Source organism: Homo sapiens, chromosome 12 (assembly GCF_000001405.40).
Source record: "Homo sapiens chromosome 12, GRCh38.p14 Primary Assembly".
Taxonomy (NCBI): Eukaryota; Metazoa; Chordata; class Mammalia; order Primates; family Hominidae; genus Homo; species Homo sapiens.
The window spans coordinates 68431618-68454459 of NC_000012.12; the positions used below are offsets into that span (position 1 = coordinate 68431618).

Sequence of the window (22842 nt, forward strand, 5' to 3'; positions counted from 1 at the left end):
TCTCAAAAAAAAAAAAAGAATGCAAAATGGTCCAATCCTCCTCTCTAGCCAGGAGACTGTTAGTATAGCCACCCTCTCTTCCCCTTGCCTCCACACCTCACCTCCCTCTCTCCTTCTCTGCAGAGTAGCTGTGGGTTCCCTCCCAGCTTCCCTGTGAGCCTCCTCCTCCAGTAAACCTACTCTTCAAACCAGACTCAAACTCACTCATACCAATGTGTCAGTGATTGATGACAGTAAGGATATTACCATTTTAATAAGGATGAAGGTCTTTAAGAAGTGAAACTCTAAAACTAGGGTCTGCAGCTCCAGCGAGTGATAGTGGGTAGTATATATTTAGCAGCCCTAAAGAGATCCTGACCACAGATTCACAGTCTCCTGGTCTAAAAGCCAGCTAGCACATAGGGTGCCGGCTGCTTCAGATGCAACTTCATTGCCATACACCGTGGTCATGATTTACTATAAAGTAATGCTGTTTCCAATATATGATGGAGTGGCAGCCGGAGCATCTGCTCAACTGAAAAACAAAAAAACAACAACAAAATCGTTGTAGGTACACTCGGTCCATCTTGGGTTATCTTCTTTAATAGTTTTTTAATATATTGAAATGTCCTCCATCTATTGCATTATTCAAATTTCTGTGTGTGACATTTGTCTCTCCAGCTAGAGCAGGGACTTTCTTCTAAATCAGCACATAGAAAATATTGAGAGATAGTCTCTTGACTATTAAGTATAAATTAATCTTTCCGGGACTCATTTCAAATGTTTTGTTCTGAATGCTTTTCACGTTATTATTAATAACAACAGCAATTATGTTTATGGGACATTTGCCATGTACCAGGTGCTCTTCCTTAAATTATTCCTCATGCTCACAACAGCCTCCACATTAGTTATTATTACCTCTCTTTCTGTAGTTGAAGAAACTACCCAAGGTCACACAACTGCAGAGAAACTCTCCGGCGTTTGTCTAGCTCTCTTACAAAAGATGCAAAGGGAGTTTATCATGGTTTTTGCTCCTGAATAGGTATTGGAAAGGCAGGAAAAATACTGTATGTCTTGGCAATTCTACAAAACATATTACAGCACAAGGTTAAAAGATAGGCAACTTTTAAAGCCTCTGTGTTTTCTGTGGGATATTTATGAGTCTGGAGGTGAGTCAAGAATGAAACAGCCAGTTACAGAGTATAAGAACTATAATCAACTCTATGGGACTCAGCAGAAACAGCTTGAACCAAGGAAAGAGCATTCCACTGTAGACTCACCCTCTCCAGAGCAGGTAATAATAGAGCAACCAATTGGCTGCCAACCACAGGTTTAAAGCATGTGATGTCAGGACCAGCCCTCCTTGGCAAACTTAATCTTGTTCAAGACTAATTTCTAAGTGTTCCTGCTTTATTGGGTAGTATTATTAACCTGCTTTCATGGGAGGGTTTCAGAGGAGGCCTGGGGGCGGCTTAAGTATGGTTCTCCATTCTGTTCCTCCCTCCCACTCTCTCTCCAACACGCTGCCTGAACATCAGCCTGAGAATAGTCCTAACTACCATTTGTAGACTTCACCCCAATCTACAAAGTCTTTTCACATACCTTATTCATATAACCTTGTGAAATTGGTGCTACTAGTAGCCCCTTCCTAAACAGGAAGATAGCACAGAGAAAAGTTATGACTTACTCCAAATCACACTGCCCAGAGGGATGAGAGCCAGAAGTGGATCCAAGTTTTCTGGGTCTTCTGATTCGAAAAGAGACCAAATGAAAGCCTACCAAAGAAAAGGTAGCACGTGGTTATCCTTTGCTCCACCCCACCTCTCTGACATTAGGATTGCAATTAATAATAATTTGTTGGATTATAATGGCGTCCTACCATTCACTCTACCCATCTCTAACAAAAACACACCTCAGTCCCACGGAGCTTTCCCTTTAACATCTTCCAGTTTAATTTCACTCATGGGCATTTATAGAGAGCATTGCTATCCAGCAGTTTCTATTTTCCCCCCTGAGGTTTATAGACAATGCACAAGTATTACTAAATGTTAGATGCGTACATGAGAGAATAAATCTTCCTACGTGTCCTGTGTATGCCTGAGATTGATTTTCACTGCTTAGTTATGAACTTCCTAGAGGATAGCTTTTATAAAACACATACATACACTGAGAATTTAGTCTATACGTTATGGGCGATAGTAGCGATTCTTACTATCAAGACAGAAGCTCATTCTCGGTGAAAACAGGTTTCATTCACCTGAAGTGAAAAGGAAGAGAAGAATTTGAAATTACTGCAACCACTATCTAGATTGATGGTCAGTTACTCAAGAAACAATTATCCAGTTTGTGGATTTCCTCTGTTCCTTCTGCTTATTGTCTGCTTGGCATTTTTCACTATTCATTATCATCTCCTGCAGAGGGTATTAGAGAAAAAGAGGGGAGGTGAGATTCAAAATAAAATTCCAATAAATTATCATCAAGCACCTACTTTAAGCCAGATGCTGAGATAGGTACTGAGAATCCTAAATGAGTAACCACTGGCCCCTGTGCATAGGTTGCTGTCAGAAATGCTGCATTAAAGATATGTATAAAATACTACAAAACTCTGGTAAAAGAGTGATTCACCTGAAAAGGAGGGGAGGAGGTGAAGACAACAGGAAAAAAAGTGATACTTCCACTGGAACTTGAAGAAGTTGAAGTCCAGGAGGAAACAGATGAGTGGGGAAGAGAAGATAGGATGAGCGGGGGAACAGCAGGAGTGTGGGCAGCGGGGTTCAGAAGTGGGAAGGTTTCACTAAGGGCAGTGCAGGTGGTGACCACACATCCTGGTTTGCCTGAGTCAGTCCTAATTTATGGTCACTATGTCAGCATAATTAATATAGCACCTCCCTTTACTCTCAAAAGTATCCTAGTTTGGGTAATGAATTATATAGCCGTCTCTGTCAATCTGAGGCACATATGTCATCACTCTCCCCTCCTTTATCCATGGAAGATATTATTAAATTACCATGGTACATTCCTGGCTAGGCCTGGACTTGTCTTCAAAATCCTACTGAAAATATCACTTCAGGCAGTATCACAGATTGGAATTGGACCTACATATGTTTTCCAAGCTATGGGCCACAGAGGTTGCAAAATGGCAACTCACAGGCCATATCTGAACTGCATTTGTATTTTATTTGACCTACACAGGATTTTTTACAATTCTGAGTCAGCATTTACTACCATGGGATATAACTCAGAAACTCATATATCTAACTTTATTTGAGAAATGGGAAAATCCAGTAACATAAGACCTGTATTCCACGTAGTGGAACAATTGGCTGAAACTAAATAGCAAATATTACCCTTTTGTCCAATATCTACCTGTTGTTGTCAGCCTCCAAGCTGGTCCCCACTGATCCTCATTTCCTGGTATCCACATTCTTGTATAGTCCCCTCTCATGCTGTATCAAGTTTGATATGTTTGGCCAATGGAATGTGACAGAAGTGATGTTATTCCATTTCCCAGGCTAGCTGTCATTCTGCCTTTCTTAGATTACTTGGCTCTGGAAGAAAACAGCTGACATGTTGTGAGGAGAGGCCCACATGGTGACAAACTGAAGCTTCCAGCAATCACCATGGGAGTGAGTCTTTTTGAAGCAGAACTTCCAGCTCCATTCTAGTAGTCAAATGATTGAAGCCCCCATCAACATCTTGACTGCAAACTCATGAAAGACCTGAGCCAGAACCATTCAGTTAAGCTGCTCCCAGATTCCTGACCCTCAGAAACCATATAAGAAATGAGCATTTATTGTTTTAAGCTGCTAAGTTTTGGGGGCAATTTGTTACGCAGCAGTAGCTAACTAATACACCAACAAAATTGATTTTCTTATGATCTACTTGCCTCTATCAATTATTTTATCTACCTGGCTCTCAAGACAGTTGAGGTTACATCCCAGCTCTACAGAAAGAAATATTGTTGATGGTTTTAAGCAAGAAAGTGAGAAGGTCAGATCTGGCTTTAGATGTATCACACTGGCATCTGTGAGAAGAAGAAGTAAGAGGGAGGCTCAAGATCAAGTTTATTTCCTGAAAAACTCATAAGTAGACCTTGCAATATAGCACAAGGGGGATGTGACATAGAACCATGTCTAAGAGACTAAGCTTAGACTCTAGGTCAGATAATATAAGTTCAAATCACCATATCACCACTGAAGGATCATATATATTTTAGTAAGTTACTTAGGCTTTTATTTCCTTAACTGAAACATGGGATTAGGAAGGCTTACAGCTGCAAGTAACTAAACACCCGTCTACTCATAGCTTAAATAAATAGTTTATTTTTCCCCTATAACTGAAGGTAGAGAGGTAGGCAGTTGCTGGGAATGATTCAACTGCTCAGCAATGCCACCAGGATTCCAGGTTCTCTCTAGCTTTCAACTCTGCCTTTCTTAGCAAGTTGGCTCATTGCCTTGTGTTTCTAAGGTGGCTGCTATAGCTCCAGCCATAACATTTCTGTCTTAGGTCATAGACTTAAAACAGAAAGAAGCAGGGGCACGTCAAGAGCTTTAATCTAGCTATGTGTGTCTCATTTTATCAGGAAAGAAAAAAGCTTCCCAGAAGCCCCCAGCAGACTTCTGCTTACATCCCATTTGCTAGAACTGGATCACCGGACCTCTTAGCAGTGATGGAGACTGGGAACATGAGTATTTAATTGAATACATTGATACTCCAAGCAAAATTGCACTCTGTGGGCAAGCAAGAAGAGAGGAGAATGAATATTAGATATTCAGTTGCCCCGAGTGATAAAACTGACTTCAGAATGTTGATACAAGGGTTAAAGTAAGCTGATACATGCTTTAGGCTAACAGTGTTTGGCATGGAATTAAGTGTTCAATAGATTTTAGCTGTTGAAATTGCAATAATTCAGGCACAGAATATTCATCCTGGACTAGGACATGGAAGAGTGAATAATTTTGAGACTAAAGGACTTGAAAAGAAAGACAGATAAAATTATCAGTGGGAAAATAACTTTGGTTTTAATTGTTTTTTATTACCTTTCTTTCTCCTTTTGTCTTATAAGCACAGAAGTGGTCTGTTTATCACATCATCTTTTTTCTTTCTAATTATTTTATAATTGTGTATCTTTTGTTAGAATTTAAGTACTTTATTATTTTAAAAATCTAACTAAAGGAAATATAAACTTTGAGTTCTTTAATCTACTCAGTTGAAAAACCTCCTACAGTAACTTTAACTCTACATTCCAATTAGTAGCCTGCACAATTATATAATCATGTAATGCACAGCACTGTGACCTACTCTTCAGAAGATATTTGTTTTAGACATAGCTCGCCTATGTGAAGAAGTAGAAATATTGCCTCTGGTCATGCTAAAATTAATTGCAATATTTAAGTCATGTGACATTTAATGTTTCTAGAACTAGCAGGTAGCATAGCTCCCAGAAACCCAATTGCACATTGCCGAACGTGTCTCAAGGCACTTTCAGGTGGATCGGATAATGGGTGGAACCACCACATACTTTTCAACCATGAACAATGATTCAGGGGCCAGGATTTAGAAACCATGGGCAGCTATGTAATTGCATAGTGTTAGAAACAAGAGAGGTGAGTGGTGTGGAATATAGGTTTAAAAGAAAAGGAAGGTTCTGAGTGTATACTCAAAATAATTGAAAGCAGGGTCTCAAGGAGATATTTGTATACCCGTGTTCATAGCAGCACTATTCACAACAGCGAAAAGGTGGAAGCAGCCCAAGTGTCAATTGACAAATGAATGGAAAAGCAAATGTGATATATATGTACAATGAAATATTACTCACCCTTAAAAAGGAAGGAGATTTTGACATGATACATGCTACAACATGGATGAAACTGGAGGACATTAAGCTAACTGAAATAAGCAAATCACAAAAAGATACTGTATGATTCCACTGATGTGAGGTACCTGGAATAGTCAAATTCATAGAGACAGAAAGTAGAATAGTGGTAGCCAAGAGCTGGACAGTTATCGTTAATGAGCACAGAGTTTCAGTTGGGAAAAATGAAAAATTTCTGGAGGGGGATGACAGCAATGGGTAACAGCAATGTAAATGTAATTAATGCCACAGAACTGCACACTTAAAAATGATTACAATGGTAAATGTTATGAGTATTTTACCACAATAAAAAAAAATTTTTAAGGAAAAAAAAAAGAAAAAGAACTTGAATGTAACATCCCCACTTCACAAACTTAGCACCCCCGTCTTCCACTACCACCACAACCACCACCCACAAAGTCCTCTAAAAGTCTGCTTATTAAGGGGAAAAGAAGGAATCAAAATTGGGAAAGAGCCTTCCAAACTCTTCCAAGATCTGAGCAGCTTCTTTTAGTCATTCTGTTCTCTTTTTTATTTTTCACAATAAATATGGAGTGCTTTTTGTTTTTTGTTTTTTAGACAGAGTCTTGCTGTGTTGCCCAGGCTGGACTGCAGTGGCACGATCTTGGCTCACTGCAGCCTCCACTTCCCAGGTGCAAGTGATTCTCCTGCCCTAGCCTCCCAAGTAGCTGGGATTACAGGCGTACCATCAGATCCAGCCAATTTTTGTATTTTTAGTAAATATGGGGTTTCACCATGTTTGTCAGGCTGGTCTCGAACTCCTGGCCTCAGGCAATCTGCCTGCCTTGGCCTCCCAAAATGCTGGGATTACAGACATGAGCCACTGCACCTGGCCAATAAATATGTATTATATTTGTAATCAGGGGGAGGACAAGGAAAGAATATTATGGCAAAGGAAGAAGTGGCATAAATTCGTCTTCATCTCTGGCCTGAGGTCAAGGCAATTCTTCCCTCAGCCTCACGAGGCTTGAGTTTTTGCTCAGAAGCATGAAATATCATTACCTTTACCTTTCATAGCCCCAGTTTAGGATAAACTCTGGGTCAGCAGTTACATGACTGACCTGAAATGATTTCACTCTGCGGCTGGCAGCGCCAGACTCAGGAGTGACAAACTGAAGTAAATGACTGTGTGAGCAGCTTCTGGTGAGACCAAATAGAAGAACTGCAGCAGATAACTTACTCTTTTTCATTGTTTCTGATTAGATCTTTTCACATTTTGCTTTTGTTTTTGTTTTTTTCTTGGAAAAGACAAGGGTGTCTCATGGAGGCTTTAGGGAAATGGCTGAATTTTAAGGAAATCGAATTGGCTCCCATGATTATCTCAAAGGAGCTGTGGTCGTAAAAGTTAATTAAATTAGATTCATTTGCATATTCAAGACCATTCCCTTCCTTCACTTTAAAGGCAGAGAAAGAAAATGTGTCCCAGCCTCCTCACTGGGATTATGACACACAACATGTCCAGATCACTCTGTTTGTATGCTGGAACTTAGTCGGACTAGCAGGCTATTTTTTAAATCCTTTTTCCTAGCTTGTATTCTCCACATTTTAAGGTAAGTGTCAATACAAACGTTAAATTAGTATGCATTGCAGTTCTTGCTTTGAAATATAGAATAAATCCTTTAGAGAAAGAGATTGCCGTGCTTAAAGACTGAGGTAATTTTCTAAACAAAAGGTGAATTCAGAACACTAAGTAGAAGATGAACTAGCAACATTTACAGCCACAAGACTGTGTAGAAGCATTTTGCATTTGTGTATGTATTGGCAACAACGGCATCTATAGCTTTATTTATTATGGGTCAGAGGAACGGAACGATTGGACCCTAAGAGGATGTCTAGTCTACCCTGCTGCCTGGAGTAGGCCTAAAATAACCGGCTAAAATGGAACTCTGGCCTGTTTTCTGAAGCCGCTAGGGAAGGTGTTTCCACAACCTTCCTCTGTTATGTGACCCATTTTTAACAATCTTTAATATCATACCAGAAAACATTGCCTTATATCCAACCTATATCCCCTCTGCTATTGATTTACTGTTTACTCTCACATGCATACAATGCAAATGTGAGCAGTCGCACTCAGCCCCTCCACCCTGCTCATTTGCATATTTCTTTGGAGTATCAACTAATGCCTACAGATTAAAGGGAGTGTCTACCCTACTTCCTTCAGCCACACATGCCTGTTAATACAAGTAAGGCTATATCATTATCTTCATTCTTCCATAAGAAGACAGGGTTAATTTATTTTTTTTCTTTAATGAACACAAATGTGCCAGACAGACCCTATGCTAGGTTCTTGGGAAACAGTGGCGGACAGGGCAGACCAAGATCCTGCCCTCACGTGTGGAACTCAGACATAATACAAATAATTACCAGTATGATGAAGACTACAAAGAAGTATAGGTTACTAAGAAATTACACAATAGGCTGAGCTAACATAGGCTGGGAGGATAGGAAAGCTTTCTAAACAAAGCTATGTTTCACCTGAAACCTGAAGAATAGGAAATATCAAAGTAGAGAAGGGAATTCAAGGTAGAAGGAACAGCATATGAATGGCCCCTATCATGAGAGTGTGGCCTGTTTGAGAATTGACAATGGAGTTCAGACAGCAGGACAAAAGTAGCTGTGATCAAGCTATGGAATCTTCAGACATTACTCACTGTCCACACTTGCTTGGCTGTGACTGAAACCTAATGCCTTGGTCCTGCTTTGTACAATTTTAGAACTCTGAGCAACTGGATGCTTAGCGACAAGGATTAGGCACCTGGAGTAAGAATGGACAAAAAGAGCCCTCATTTCAGTGCTCAGAAGGCCTGGAATGTTCCAGTGGCCTCAGTGAGTCAGCATGGTGTTGTGCAGCATTGGTGAGCTCGTTCCCAGAGTATTCGGGTGCTACACAGTCTTCAGCAAGTCACACTTGCAGGGTCTCCGACCTCACTTCTGTAAAGTGAGGAGGTTAGATATGGGCTTTTCTAACTCACCTTCTGGAATCAGTTAGCAACAATAGTCCCCATACAGTTCTTAAGTGGGTCACATTATTACTGAGCTAACCTACATTTGCTAGTGGGCGGAGGGGATTATTCAGACAGCCAGCAGGCCTGTCTCCAATTTGCTTTTTTGTTTTTGGGTTTTTTTTTTTTTATTTTTTTTGGTTTGGTCTTTTAGTATTTTTTTAATCATGGTAAAATATAGATGACATAAAACTTACCATTTTAACCATTTTTAAGTGTACAATTCAGTGGCATTAATTATACAATTTCAATATTGTAAGCCATTACCACTATCTATTTCTGAAAATGTTTCATTCCAATGCACTTTTTATTTTTTTTTTTGAGACAAAGTCTCACTCTGTCTCCCAGGCTGGAGTGCAGTGGCACGATCTCAGCTCACTGCAACCTCCACCTCCCAGATTCAAGCAATTCTCCTGCCTCAACCTCCCAAGTAGCTGAGATTACAGGTGTGTTCCACCATACCTGGTTAATTTTTGTATTTTTAGTAGAGACAGGGATTCACAATGTTGGCCATGCTGGTCTCAAACTCCTAACCTCAAGTGATCTGCCAGCCTCAGTCTCCCAAAGTGCTGGGATTACAAGCGTGAGCCACCGTGCCCGGCCCAATGCACTTTTAAAATAATCTGGGCAAGTTCTACGAGGATCCTCACAACTCATGAACCTGGCTTTCTATCATGATTCCTGATTTGGAACTTGAGAAATCAGGTACTGCTCTTAAAGCAAACAAGGCTTCTTACTCCCATTGTATGAAAATGAGTAAAAAGGGGAAAGATAAACTATTGAGCAAACTGCTGAGTAAATGGCAGTTAAATCCCCCTTTGCCTCTGGAGAAGTCACCTTGTTCAAGATCATAATGCTTAATAACGCTGAGACCTAAAACAGATAAAGGACACAACAAAAAAAGGAAACCACAGACCAATATCCTTCATGAACACAGATGCAAAAATCCTCAACAACATCTAGCAAACTGAATCCAACAACACATCTAAAAGATTATATGCCACAATCAAGTGAGATTCATACCAGGGATGCAAGCCTGGTTCAACATATACAAATCAATACAAGTATTACCTCACATCAACAGATGAAGTACAAAAATCACATGATCATATGAATAGATGAAGATAAAGCATTTGATAAAATTCAGCTTCACTTCGTGATAAAAACTTTAAATAAATTAGGTATGAAAAGAAAATACCTCAACGTAATAAAAACCATATATGACAAACCCACAGCTAACATTAAACTGAGCTGGAAAAATCTGAAATCTTCTCCCCTAAGAACTGGAACAAGACAAGGATGCCCACTCTTACCACTCTTATTCAATATAGTACTAAAAGGCCCAGCCAGAGCAACTGGGCAAGAGAAAGAAACAAAAGGCATCCAAACTGGAAAGGAGAAAGTAAAATTGTTCCTGTTTGTAGATATGATCGTATGTATAGAATAACCTAAAGACTCTACCGGAAACTTTTAGAGCTGATAAATGAATTCAGTAAAGTTGCAGAATGCAAAATTATGTTAGTCTGTTTTCACACTGCTGATAAAGACATACCCAAGACTGGGAAGAAAAAGAGGTATAATTGGACTTACAGTTCCACGTGGCTGGGGAGGACTTAGAATCATGGTGGGAGGCAAAAGGTCCTTCTTACACGGCGGCAGCAAGAGAAACTGAGGAAGAAGCAAAAGCAGAAACCCCTGATAAACCCACCAGATCTTGTGAGACTTATTCAATATCACGGAATAGCATGGGAAAGACTGGCCCCCATGATTCAATTACCTCCCCCTGGGTCCCTCCCATAACATGTGGGAATTCTGGGCGATACAATTCAGTTGAAATTTGAATGGGGACACAGCCAAACCATATCGTTCCGCCCCTGGCCCTTCCAAATCTCATGCCCTCACATTTCAAAACCAATCATGCCTTCCCAACAGTTCCCCAAAGTCTTAACTCATTTCAGAATTAACCCAAAAGTCCACAGTTCAAAGTCTCATCTGAGACAAGGAAAGTCCCTTCTGTCTATAAGCTTGTAAAGTCAAAAACAAGCTAGTTACTTCCTAGATACAATGGGGGTAAAAGTATTGGGTAAACACAGTTGTTCCAAATGGGAGAAATTGGCAAAAAAAAAAAAAAGGCGGGGGTGGTGTTACAGGGCCCATGCAAGTCCAAAATCCAGCAGGGCAGTCAAATTTTAAAGCTCCCAAATGATCTTCTTTGACTCCAGGTCTCATATCCAGGTCACACTGATGCAAGAGGTGGGTTACCGTGGTCTTGGGCAGCTCCTCCCCTATGGTTTTGCAGGGTACAGCCTCCCTCTCAGCTGCTTTTATAGGCTGTTGTTGAGTGTCTGTGGCTTTTCCAGGAGCACGGTGCAAGCTGTCAGTGGATTTAACATTCTGGGGTCTGGAGAAAGGTGGCCTTCTTCTCACAGTTCCACTAGGCAGTGCCCCAGTAGGAACTCTGTGTGGGGGCTCTGACCCCACATTTCCCTTCTGCACTGCCATAGCAGAGGTGCTCCATTAGGGCCCCACTCCTGCAGCAAACCTTTGCCTGGGCATCCAAGCATTTCCATACATCTTCTGAAATCTAGGCGAAGGTTCCCAACCCTCAATTCTTGACTTCTACGCATCCACAGGCTCAACACCATGTGGAAGCTACCAAGGCTTGGGGATTCCACCCTCTGAAGCCACAGCCCAAGCTATATGTTAGCCCCTTTCAGCCACAGCTGGAGTGGCTGGGACACAGGGCACAAAGTCCCTAGGCTGCACACAGCACAGGGACCCCAGGCCACTTTTTCCTTCTGGTCCTCTAGGCCTGTGATGGGAGGGACTGCCGTGAAGGTCTCTGACATGGCCTGGAGACATTTCTCCATGTTCTTGGGTATTAACATTAGGCTCCTTGCTACTTATGCAAATTTCTGCAGCTGGCTTGAATTTCTCTCCAGAAAGTGGATTTTTCTTTTCTACTGCATTGTCAGGCTGCAAATTTTCTGAACTTTCATGCTCTGTTTCCCTTTTTAAATGGAATGCTTTTAACAGCACCCAAGTCACCTTTTGAATGCTTTGCTGCTTAGGAATTTCTTCCGCCAGATACCCTAAATCATCTCTCTCAAGTTCCAAGTTCCACAGATCTCCAGGGCAGGGATAAAATGCTGCAAGTCTCTTTGCTAAAACATAACAAGAGTCACCTTTGCTCTGGTCCCCAACAAGTTCCTCATCTCCATCTGAGACCACCTCAGCCTGGACCTTATTGTTCATATCACTGTCAGCATTTTTGTCAAAGCCATTCAACAAGTCTCTAGGAGGTTCCAAACTTCCCCACATTTTCTTGTCTTCTTCTGAGCTCTCCAAACTGTTCCAACCTCTGCCTGTTACCCAGTTCCAAAGTTGCTTCCACATTTTTGAGTATCTTTTCAGCAACACCCCACTCTCGGTACCAATTTACTGTATTAGTCCATTTTCATGCTGCTGATAAAGACATACCCAAGACTGGAAAGAAAAAGAGGTTTAATTGAACTTACAGTCCCACGTGGCTGAAGAGGCCTCAGGATCATGGTGGGAGGCAAAAGGTATTTCTTACATGGCAGTGGCAAGAGAAAATGAGGAAGAAGCAAAAGCAGAAACCCCTGATAAACCCATCAGATCTCATGAGACTTATTCACTATCATGAGAATAGCATGGGAAAGACCAGCCCACGTGATTCAATTACCTCCCCCTAGGTCACTCCCGCAACATGTGGGAATTCTGGGAGATATAATTCAGCTGAGATTTGAATGGGGACACAGCCAAACCATATCAAAAATTAACATACAAAAATCAGTAGCATCTTTATATACAAACAACAAACTAGCTGAAAAATAAATCAAGAAAGCAACCTCATTTACAATAAGTACACACACATACACACACACACTCTACCTAGGAATGCATTTAATCTAGGAGGTGAAAGACATCTACAAAGAAAACTGTAAAACAGTGATGAAAGAAATTGAAGGGGACACAAAAAAATGAAAAGAAATTCCATGTTCAGAGACTGAGAAAATTAATATTGTTAAATGACTGTACTACCCAAAGAAATATACACTGCAATCCCTATTAGAACAGCAATGACATTCTTCAGTGAAATAGAAAAACACAACACTAAAATTTTTATGAGACATAAGTAATCCTAAGCCAAAGTAATCCTAAGCAAAGGAATAAAGCTGGTGGCATCATACTACCAGACTTCAAAACATACTACAAAGCTATAGTAACCAAAATGGCAAGGTACTGGTATAAAAACACACACATAGAACAATGGAACAGAATTGCTCACTGAGAACAATTCTGAGGATCCAGAAATGAATCCATGTATCTATAGCCAACTGCTTTTGACAAAGGCACCAAGAATATTCATAGGGGAAAAGACAGTCTCTACAATAAATGGTGCTGGGAAAACTGGATATCCATATGCAGAAGAATGAACCTAGACCCCCACATCTCACCTATACACAAACCAACCCTAAATGAATTAAACACCTAAAAGTAAGACCCAAAACTATAAAACTACTAGAAGAAAATAAAGAGGAAATGCTTCAGGACATTAGTCTGGGAAAAGACTTTATGAATGAGACCTCAAAAACACAAGACACAAAAGCAAAAATAAATAGAATGATATCAAACTAAAAAGCTTCTGGGTAGCGAAAAAGAAAAACAATCAACAGAGTGAAAAGATAATCTACAAAATGATAGGAAATATTTACAAACAATTCATCTGACAGATGATTAATATCCAGAATACACAAGAAACTCAAACATCTCAAAAGCAAGAAAAAAAAAATCCAATTAAAACATGGGCAAATGATCCAAACAGAAAAGATGTACAGTTGGCCAACAAATATATGAAAAAATGCTCAGCATCACTAATCATCAGAGAAATGCAAATGAAAACTACAATGAGATATTGTCTATCATCCCAGTTAGGATGGCTATTATCAAAAAGACAAAAAATAACAAATGCAGGTAAGGAGGTAGAGAAAAACGAACTTTTTTTTTTTTTTTTTTGAGACAGAGCCTTGCTCTATCACCCAGGCTGGAGTACGGTGGTGCAATCTCAGCTCACTACAAACTCTGCCTCCTGGGTTCAAGCAATTCTTTTGTCTCAGCCTCCCTAGTAGCTGGGACTACAGGCACATACCACCATGCCTGGCTAATTTTCGTAAAGGAACTATTTACAAAAAAAAACTCTTTATAGCCACTATGGAGAACAGTATGTAAGTTCCTCAGAAAACTACAAATGGAACTACTGTTTGATCCAGTAATCCCATTACAGGGCATTTATCCAAAGGAAAAGAAATGAATATATCACAGAGATATCAGCACTCCTATGTTTATTGCACCACTATTTACAATAGCCAAGATAAGGAATCAACCAAAATGTTTAACAACAGATGAATGGATAAAGAAAATATGGTATATACATGAGATGAAATACTATCCCCCCATTACAAATAATGAAATCCTGTCTTTCATGGCAACATGGATGAAACTGGCAGACATTCTGTTAAGTGAAATAAGCCAGGAACAGACAGAAACACCACGTGTTCTTACTTAAGTGTGGAAGCTAAAAAATGATGATCTCAGAGAAGTAAAAAGTGGAACAGAGGTTACCAGAGGCTGGGAAGAATAGTCAGAACAGGGGGATAGAGAAAGATTTGTTAAAGAATACAAAATTACAGGTAGATAGGAAGAATAAATTCTAGTGTTCTGTGACACTGTAGGATGACTATAGTTAACAATATTATGTTTTTTCAAACAGCAAGAAGAGAGGATATTGACTGTTTCCAACACAAAGAAATAATAAATGTTTGAGATGATGGATGTGCTAATTACCCTGATCTGATCACTCAACATTGTATGTATCAAAACGTCACTATGTACCTTATAAATATGTGCAATTATGTGTCAATTTAAAAATAAAATTTTGTTAAGAGATGATTCTAAGATTTGGGGGTCTAAGACTCCAGGATTTTAGGACTGGTGAGTGCTCAGGTGCTGAGATCCTCACACATGAGTCCTTGCTGCTAGGAGAAGGTTGTCAGAAGCCTCCCTTGGCTGGGAGTAGGTTATCCTCTTCCTGCCCACCTCCCCCAGTGCTGTGTGAATGTAGCTCTTTGTGGCTTAGAGAATGTAAATTTTCATTTTGCATTTCCAGTGTCACATGCTTACCTTATCAGCATGTTCCAGTTTTCAGAATAAATATTTGGAGATGAAAAATAAAGATCATAATGCTTAATATGCCAAATTGACTGAGCCCCGTCTATGTGCCTAGCACTAAGCTAGTTACTTTGCACATGTCACGTTTTTTACCTATTACATGTAGTAATATTACTCCCATGTTACAAGTATAGAAATAGGCTATAGTAGAACTTGACTCCCAACCCAAATCAGTTTGGCTTTACAATTTACAATTTGGCTTAACCTCTATACTTCACTGCTTTCCCAAAGACAGCTACAGGGAAACCTGAAAATAATGAAAGAGAAAAAAAAAAAAAAAAAAAAAAAGCAAAAACTGGCCAGGCCCAGTGGCCCTTGTCTGTAATTCCAGCTATGCGGGAGGAGTGCTTGAGCCCAGGACTTAAAGGCTACACGCAGTGAGCTAGGATTGCACCACTGCACTCCTGCCCAGTAAGACCCTGTCTAAAAAAAAAAAAAAAAAAAAAAAAAAAATACTGACCCTAGGTTCACACTGTTCAACCTCATTCAGATTTGTGACTGGTTTTGTCATGCACCTTCTAGCACCATTTCAGTGTTTCCTCTCTCTAGTCCATAGAATTGATGGTATTTACTGCTCTAGTTTTCAAGGATGGCGTTTACTTCAGTAAGTAAATCAATTACTTCATTAAGAAAATCCTTAGAGCATCAGGGGGCTCAGCAGTAAGAAAGGGTTAACAGCCTCAGGAAGGGCTAAGCTCCCACACCGCAGGTGGTGTCAGAAGAACAGGAATAATGAGGCTGGGGAATGCCCACCCTCCGGAAGCTTTTCTGTACATCTAAATAGAGCAGAAAGTAAACGTTGACAAGAGGAAACTGTCAGGTAAATTAATTTGAAAAGTGCAGGTTTTGTTTTCTTTTCCTTTCAATGGGTGAGAATTCAAAGCATAAGGCAGGAGAACGAGTTAAAAATACTATGACTAGTATGACAGTAGCCAACTGATGCTTGCACAATAGAAAGGGCATCATGGGTTACACAAGAGGATTGTAAAAAATGTGCAAAAAAATAAGAGGACAGGGGCAGGAATGGCTGATCAAACACACTAACACCATGGGATCTTCAAAGGTTCAAAATATAACCACATTGTGACATTATAAAATAACTATATAGGATTCCAAAACATGAAGGTTTTTAAATAAAAGTATTTGTCCCTTAGGGTAAAGTCAGACATCCTTATCTTGGCTTGCATAGCCCTCTACAGTTTATCTCCCAAGCCTCATCCCTTCTACTGCCATGAACGACAACTTTGCAGAACCTCCTGAATTACTTTCATTTGTTGTCAGGCCCTCACTCTTTCTTCCAGGCCCTTACTTCTCTTCTCTGACACCTAAGTTCAGGCAGGGTCTCCTAGTTACACCTTCTGACAACTCTATGCTAATGTATTATCCTATAAATATTAAATAACATCTGTTTCCTGCTAGAATCTACTCTCCAAGGGCAGGGTCCATATCTGCTTTGTTTATTGCTATATTGTCAACTATGGTACAGTTATGAATAATTGAATGAATGCTGGTGGACATCTGGGTTCCAAACCGTCCAACTGAATGATATATAAGGCAACAATTGCTTCTTCAGTTTATGTATCAGTCAGGGTTTGACATGAAAAACAGAACCAGCAGAAAATTTTTGTTTGTTTGTTTTTGTTTTTTAATATATCCATTTATTTTTTACAAAGAATTATCTTACACAACTGTAGGAGCTGGCTAAGCAGGCCTGACATCCACAAGGCAGGTAATCAGAAAGGGAAAGCCATAAGCAGGCTAGACTACCACAAGGATGAGCTCAGTGATGAGGATGTCATGCAGAAGTCAGGGCTCTTTGTCATGGAGCTGTACACATACACTTAACCCAAGAGTCAGTGAAATTGGAAGTAGATACATCTGAAAAGTAAAGGAATTATAAACTAGCTGCTGCTTCACACCAACAAGGCAAATCAGCAGATCAGCAACAACATGAGTGTTTTTGTCCCAAAACGTAGAAAAGTTCTACAACTTTCCTTCTGCTCTACTACTTGGAATCTCCGACCTCAGGGAGAGTATAGATCAAGCTTATCCAAACCACTTTATTTTGTAGTTGTTGTTCTGTTTGTTTTTGTTTTAGGCTTTTAGCAACCTGAAGCCATAGTTTTTAGTTTCCGTCTCTAGTAATAAGCAGAAAAGAGGGATGAGGAAGGGGCTTTTCTGGCCCAATGAGAAACAGAAACTAAGAACCCATGACTGTACTCTCTCCCTTAGACACCCCTGGTCTAGACTCTCTTTTAAAAAGCTTTTAACTGATTAAGTCACATAGAATAATATCTCTTTTGACTAATTTAAAGTCAACTGATTAGGGACTTTACAGCTGCAAAATCCCTTCACAGCAGCACCTAGATTAGTGTTTCAATAATTAGGAGAAGGTACGTGCGTGCTACAAAATAGCTGCTGCCTCACTTCCATCTTCCAATTTTTGCAAGAGACTCTCCCTTGTAGACCACCCTAGTCAGAAACATACTAGAAAAGGAGCTCTGGGGGATGTGATTTATCCAAGCCAAAGCAGACACACCACGAAACCATCACAGGTCACATCATATAACTACCTCTTTAACCTTGAATGAAAGAAATTAATAAAAGAAACCAGTGATATTCAGAAGTAAGGGGAACCACTTTGTTATAGAAATAGTGCTGATTCTGCAGATGCAAAGGAAAAGAACAAATCTGGATAGGAGGGCAGAGCTAACAACCTTAGAGGAGCATGCTTCCAAGAAGTAGAGGAGGTATAGGGGAGCTCTCAGAGCAAACATGGAAGTGATAAGCATGTATTCCTATCAAAGATGGGGAAACTTCATTCCAAGACAAGCTGGAATGTTGGTGTTTACCAATAAACGCTTGTTAAATGAACTGATAAATCAATGAACCAATGAATAAATGCTGCCTTAAGCTTAAGCCCTGTGCTAAACTACAGAGGTATGGTGATATCTTAGTCTGTTCAGGCTACTATAACAAAATACCTTAAATGGGTAATTTATAAATAACAGAAATGTATTGCTTACAGTTCTGGAGAGTGGAAAGTCTAGGATCAAGGTAACAGCAGACTTGGTGTCTGGACTTGCTCTATGCTTCAAAACTGGTGCCTTCTTGTTATATTACCAAATGGCAGTAAGGGCAAGGCACCTCTTTTAAGAGGGCACTGTGATGGTTAATACTGAGTGTCAATTTGATTGGATTGAAGGATGCAAAGGATTAATCCTGGGTGTGTCTGTGAGGGTGTTGCCAAAGGAGATTAACATTTGAGTCAGTGGGCTGGGAAAGGTAGACCCACCCTTAATCTGGGTGGGCACCATCTAATCAGCTGCCAGTGTGGCCAGAATATAAAGCAGGCAGAAAAATGTGAAAAGGCTAGACTGACCTAGCCTCCCAGCCTAAATCTTTCTCCACTGCTGGATGTTTCCTGCCTTTGAACATTGAATTCCAAGTTCTTCAGCTTTGGCACTTGGACTGGCTTCCTCGTTCCTCAGCTTGCAGACAGCCTGGTATGGGACCTCATGATCGTATAAGTTAATACTACTTAACAAACTCATATATATATATATATATATATATATATATATATATATATGAATGTGTTTTATATATATATATATGAATGTGTTTTATATATATATATGAATGTGTTTTTTATATATATATATATATCCTATTACATATCCTTAACAAACTCATATATATATATATATATATATATATATATATATATGAGTTTGTTTTATATATATATATCCTATTAGTTCTGTCCCTCTAGAGAACCCTGACTAACACAGGCACTGATCCATGACTTAATCACTTCCCAAAAGGACTCACCTCTTCATACTATCACATTGGGTATTAGTTCCAACATATGAATTTGAGGGGGACACTAACATTTAGACAATAGCAGGTGGTAAAAAAGACACATTGTCCTCACCTTATGGAGGTTCCCTAAGGGTGGAAGGGATGGAAGATATACAAGGATTAAACAGTTCAAGCTACAGGACAAGGGTTGTCTTAAGAAAGATGGCTTGACTGAGAGAAAGCAAATTGGTGTTCTTCAGTCTTTTCATGGGTGCTAGATACTTCCTTGTTGCCATTTCTGCATTGCCAGAGCCACACACACACACACACAGAACACAATAGACTTTGTACAGCTTCCAGTGCAAAATTAGAAACCAGAGCTCAATATCTAGTTGACAGTGACAATATGGTTATTAGAAAAGCCTAAGTATGACATGTCTTGAATAATCAATGATTGAATCATGTGCCTTTAAGCTTAGCTTATGCCAAATGCCTCCAGGAAAGGTTATTTAAAAAAAAAAAAACTCAGAATGTGCTCACTGGCTTACAGTGATTGAGTTATGCTGTGGGCCATGGTAACTTCTCTGCAGTGCTCAAAATAGATGAAGGGCAGATCAGTCACCCTGGGGAATTTTATCTGCCTCATTTATGCATCCAGAGATGCTGCTTACATAAAGCCGAAATAAGCACAACCAAAAGGCACCAAGGAAGACGAATAAAAGGTGACGATTCAAATAGAAACCAAGAAAACAAGAAAGCAATCAACAGCAAAGATCAGGACCAGTCCCTGTTGTAAAGATCTGAGTAAGAATTCGGCCTGTGAAGATGGTACAGTACCTTTAACTTTCTGATATCTTCTAAGAGGCAGATTTAGAAACCTCTTCCTGGAGAAAGCCACAGCCTCCAGCTGTTCTTGTTCTACACATTCAGGCATGGACCCTTGCCACAGCCTCTCAAGGATTCACACTTCACACTGGCAGAGCACTCTCTCACTCCTCCTGGAGATACTGGCTCCTTCTTGACCTGCAGGCAGAGCACCAGAACCATGTAAAAATGTGACTCAGGCAACTCACAGATAAGCAAAGACCTCCAGGCAGAGCACCAGAAAGTCAATCAAGAACCATGCAAAAATGTGACTCAAGCAACTCAGAGTTAGGCAAAGAAACTGAAAGTTTCAAGAGTTCCCCTTGGCCAAGTTTACACCAAAACATTTTTATTATGCGAGTAGTTTTTAAAGGAAATCATTCATCATAAGTTTGCAGAAAAGGTCTGCTCCTTGTCTCCAGTTGCCTTGGAGATCGTCAAGGGGTGGCTGGAGGTGAATCTAAGAGACTGGAAATTCAGTTCATGGTCAAATCCATCAGTGTTTTAAAACATTCTAAAAAACCCAACAGCACCATCTGTAAGGACTGCATCATTTGCGAAATTTCTTGCTAAATCAGCTGGCCAAATGCAAAGCCAATTGCTTTGGCTTCCGTACAACACCATGCTGCAGCCAGGAAGTATTTTAAGTGGATAATGAGTAGTCTCTTCTCTCAATGAATACGTTCAAATAACATCGACTGCCTGTAATATGCAAAGTTCCTAGTCAAGGCTGCCTTAGGAATTCCTGCCCCTTAACTTAACGCTTTAATCTTTATCAGGGAAAATATCCCTCTTCTCTAGTGATGTTTAAGAAATCAATTCCCTGGCAATGGCCCAATACACTTTCCAGCTCATACACAGACATGTAAAACTGCACACACAGAGAAACACCCAAATGCACACCATTCGTACTAGTTCTGAGATATGCAAGGCTTACACCCTGCATCCAAGAATGGCTGCCAAGTTTTTCCTTTATTTAGTTATAATACCTCCTCTAAAATTATTTGGGGACCCAAAATGGCCTTTTTGTGTGAGGAAACACACATAAGAAATACCTCTCTGCCTTTTTCCCTTGAAAAATATAGTTATCTATGGAAAATCTGTGTGCTCTCTCTCTTTGTCTCTCAGATAAAAGTGGCAAAGCAGATGGAAGCTCCTTCTGTGAAGAAATCAAATTCTATACTCCTTATATCCAACCTCCATTACTCTATTTTTGTCATTTAAGTTATATAGTAGATATGTAATAAATGCTTCATTATTTCACTTATTAAGTTGGCTTCTCCCTCAAGGTACTTTAGAACTTTGGTACCCAACAGCAGCTCTGGGATCATGAGCTTATCAGAAATGCAGACACTCTGGTCCCATCCTAGCCCCCCCTCGAATCAGAATCTGCATTTTAACAAGATTTCTAGGAGATGTGTAAGCACATTAAGGTTTGAGAAGCACTGTTTTGGGACACACCTTGATTCTCTTTTTTTTTTTTTTTTTTTTAGTTTTGGTTTCTTTTTTTAGACTTAGGGAATACAAGTACAGTTTTGTTACATGGATATATTGTGTAGTGGTGAAGTCTGGGCTCTTTGTGTACCCATCACCCAAATACTGTACATTGCACCCAACAGGTAATTTCTCATCCCTCATCCCCACTCCCACCCCACCCTCTTATCTTTTGGAGTTTCCAATATCTATTATTCCACTCTGTATGTTCATTACACCTTGATTTTTACACTGTTACTGTTAGTCTAGTAAGTTCTCTCACTCCGCAAAGATCATGTCTTGCCATGGGGGACACTTTTCTAGAGGATAGTAATTATGAGCTGATGCTTTTGGGCACTAACCATGTGCCAGGAGTGGAGAGGGCACATAGTTAACATGAGAAAGATTTACTCAGTTAGTAAAAGGTGGAGGCAAGTTGGAACTCAATCTGGCATCTGGGTCCATGTTTTCCAGGTGCTGCTTCCCTTATTGGGCCCCTGCAGGGTGCAGAACGGTCCTACTTTCTGCAAGGTGTTTGACGTCCCTGTCTACCACACACTATAACTGCATGATACCTTCAGAATCCTGACAACCTAAGGACTGCCCCCACATTTCCAGACACCCATGTGAGTGGTGCTGATCACACTAAGAACCACAGTGTCTTGTGTTCATGCAGTAATTTTGAGAAATTAGTTTCCTGTGATTTGTTTCTTTCTTCCAGTGTTTAACCAAATAATAAAAATCCTTTAACGTTTTACATGTTATTTTTCACTTCAATAGAAGGCTATCACTATTGAGGGCCTGCTCTATGCAGACTAAAAGATAAGTAAGCTCCTTGCCTCTAGCCACTGACAATCTGGTTAGAGAAATAAGGCCTTAGTAGATGCAATAGCTAAGAAACAATTCAAGACACTATAAGATTAAGTCCAGAAATGACCAGAAAGACCTAGATTTATATTCTGGCTTTGTGCCACTTACTAGTGTGAGCCCAGTGACATTCTGTAAGCCTCTCTTTCCCTACCTGTAAAACGGGGGTATCATTAAACAATGCACATAAATTGCCACCACAGTATGTAAAGCATGAGATATACTTAATAAATGTTAGCCATATCCACCAATCACCACCCTCTCTGAATCAGGAAGAAATAGGACAAAAATGGGATACAGAGAGGATGTGCGTAAGAGAATAGACAGCATTCTGGGCAGGAGGCACAGCCAAGCAAAAGCGTGGTGTCAGGAATGTGCATGCCTGCGGCAGAAACTTACAGACTCTCAGACTGGATGAAGTGAAGGGTTCCAGTCAAGGAGTTATGAGAAGTGAACACATTAAAGTAAAGATAAGTTTACATTTGTTATGTGGACATGGAATCTCCTGGGGATTTTTGAATTTCTTCAGTATCACGACTTTCAAATACAGAAGAAATGCAAACCTACACAAAAGAAAATGAAGGAGTCTTCTAGCCATTCCCCCAGGGCTTCCCACACCAATGAGCGCGGATGCATCTATTACCAATCAATGTCTTTAAGAAGCCTGAAGAAATAAATGCATGGCACTGCTGTGGGACATATTTTTAATTCTTCTTTAAGTTCAAA

At 40.0% G+C, this 22842-nt stretch overlaps 1 long non-coding RNA gene across 1 annotated transcript, besides 3 other annotated features; it reads right to left on the reverse strand.

The window, feature by feature from the left end:
• Positions 1–224: 224 nt before the first annotated feature.
• On the reverse strand, positions 225–19867 carry LINC02384 (long intergenic non-protein coding RNA 2384). Its single transcript, NR_120458.1, has 4 exons — positions 19750–19867; positions 10447–10524; positions 1667–1754; positions 225–514 (listed from the first exon to the last, which is right to left on the reverse strand). It is a non-coding gene; the product is annotated as a long intergenic non-protein coding RNA 2384 (long non-coding RNA).
• Positions 15652–15946: a silencer, noted in NCBI's record as "tiled region #8569; HepG2 Repressive non-DNase unmatched - State 24:Quies, and K562 Repressive non-DNase unmatched - State 6:EnhF". NCBI's record gives its function as "represses a minimal TATA promoter and a strong SV40 promoter by Sharpr-MPRA in HepG2 and K562 cells {active_cell/tissue: HepG2 | K562}" and the evidence as "EXISTENCE:reporter gene assay evidence [ECO:0000049][PMID:27701403]".
• Positions 19726–20055: an enhancer, noted in NCBI's record as "active region_6637". NCBI's record gives its function as "activates an Ori minimal core promoter by ATAC-STARR-seq in GM12878 lymphoblastoid cells {active_cell/tissue: GM12878}" and the evidence as "EXISTENCE:reporter gene assay evidence [ECO:0000049][PMID:35858748]".
• Positions 20116–20255: an enhancer, noted in NCBI's record as "active region_6638". NCBI's record gives its function as "activates an Ori minimal core promoter by ATAC-STARR-seq in GM12878 lymphoblastoid cells {active_cell/tissue: GM12878}" and the evidence as "EXISTENCE:reporter gene assay evidence [ECO:0000049][PMID:35858748]".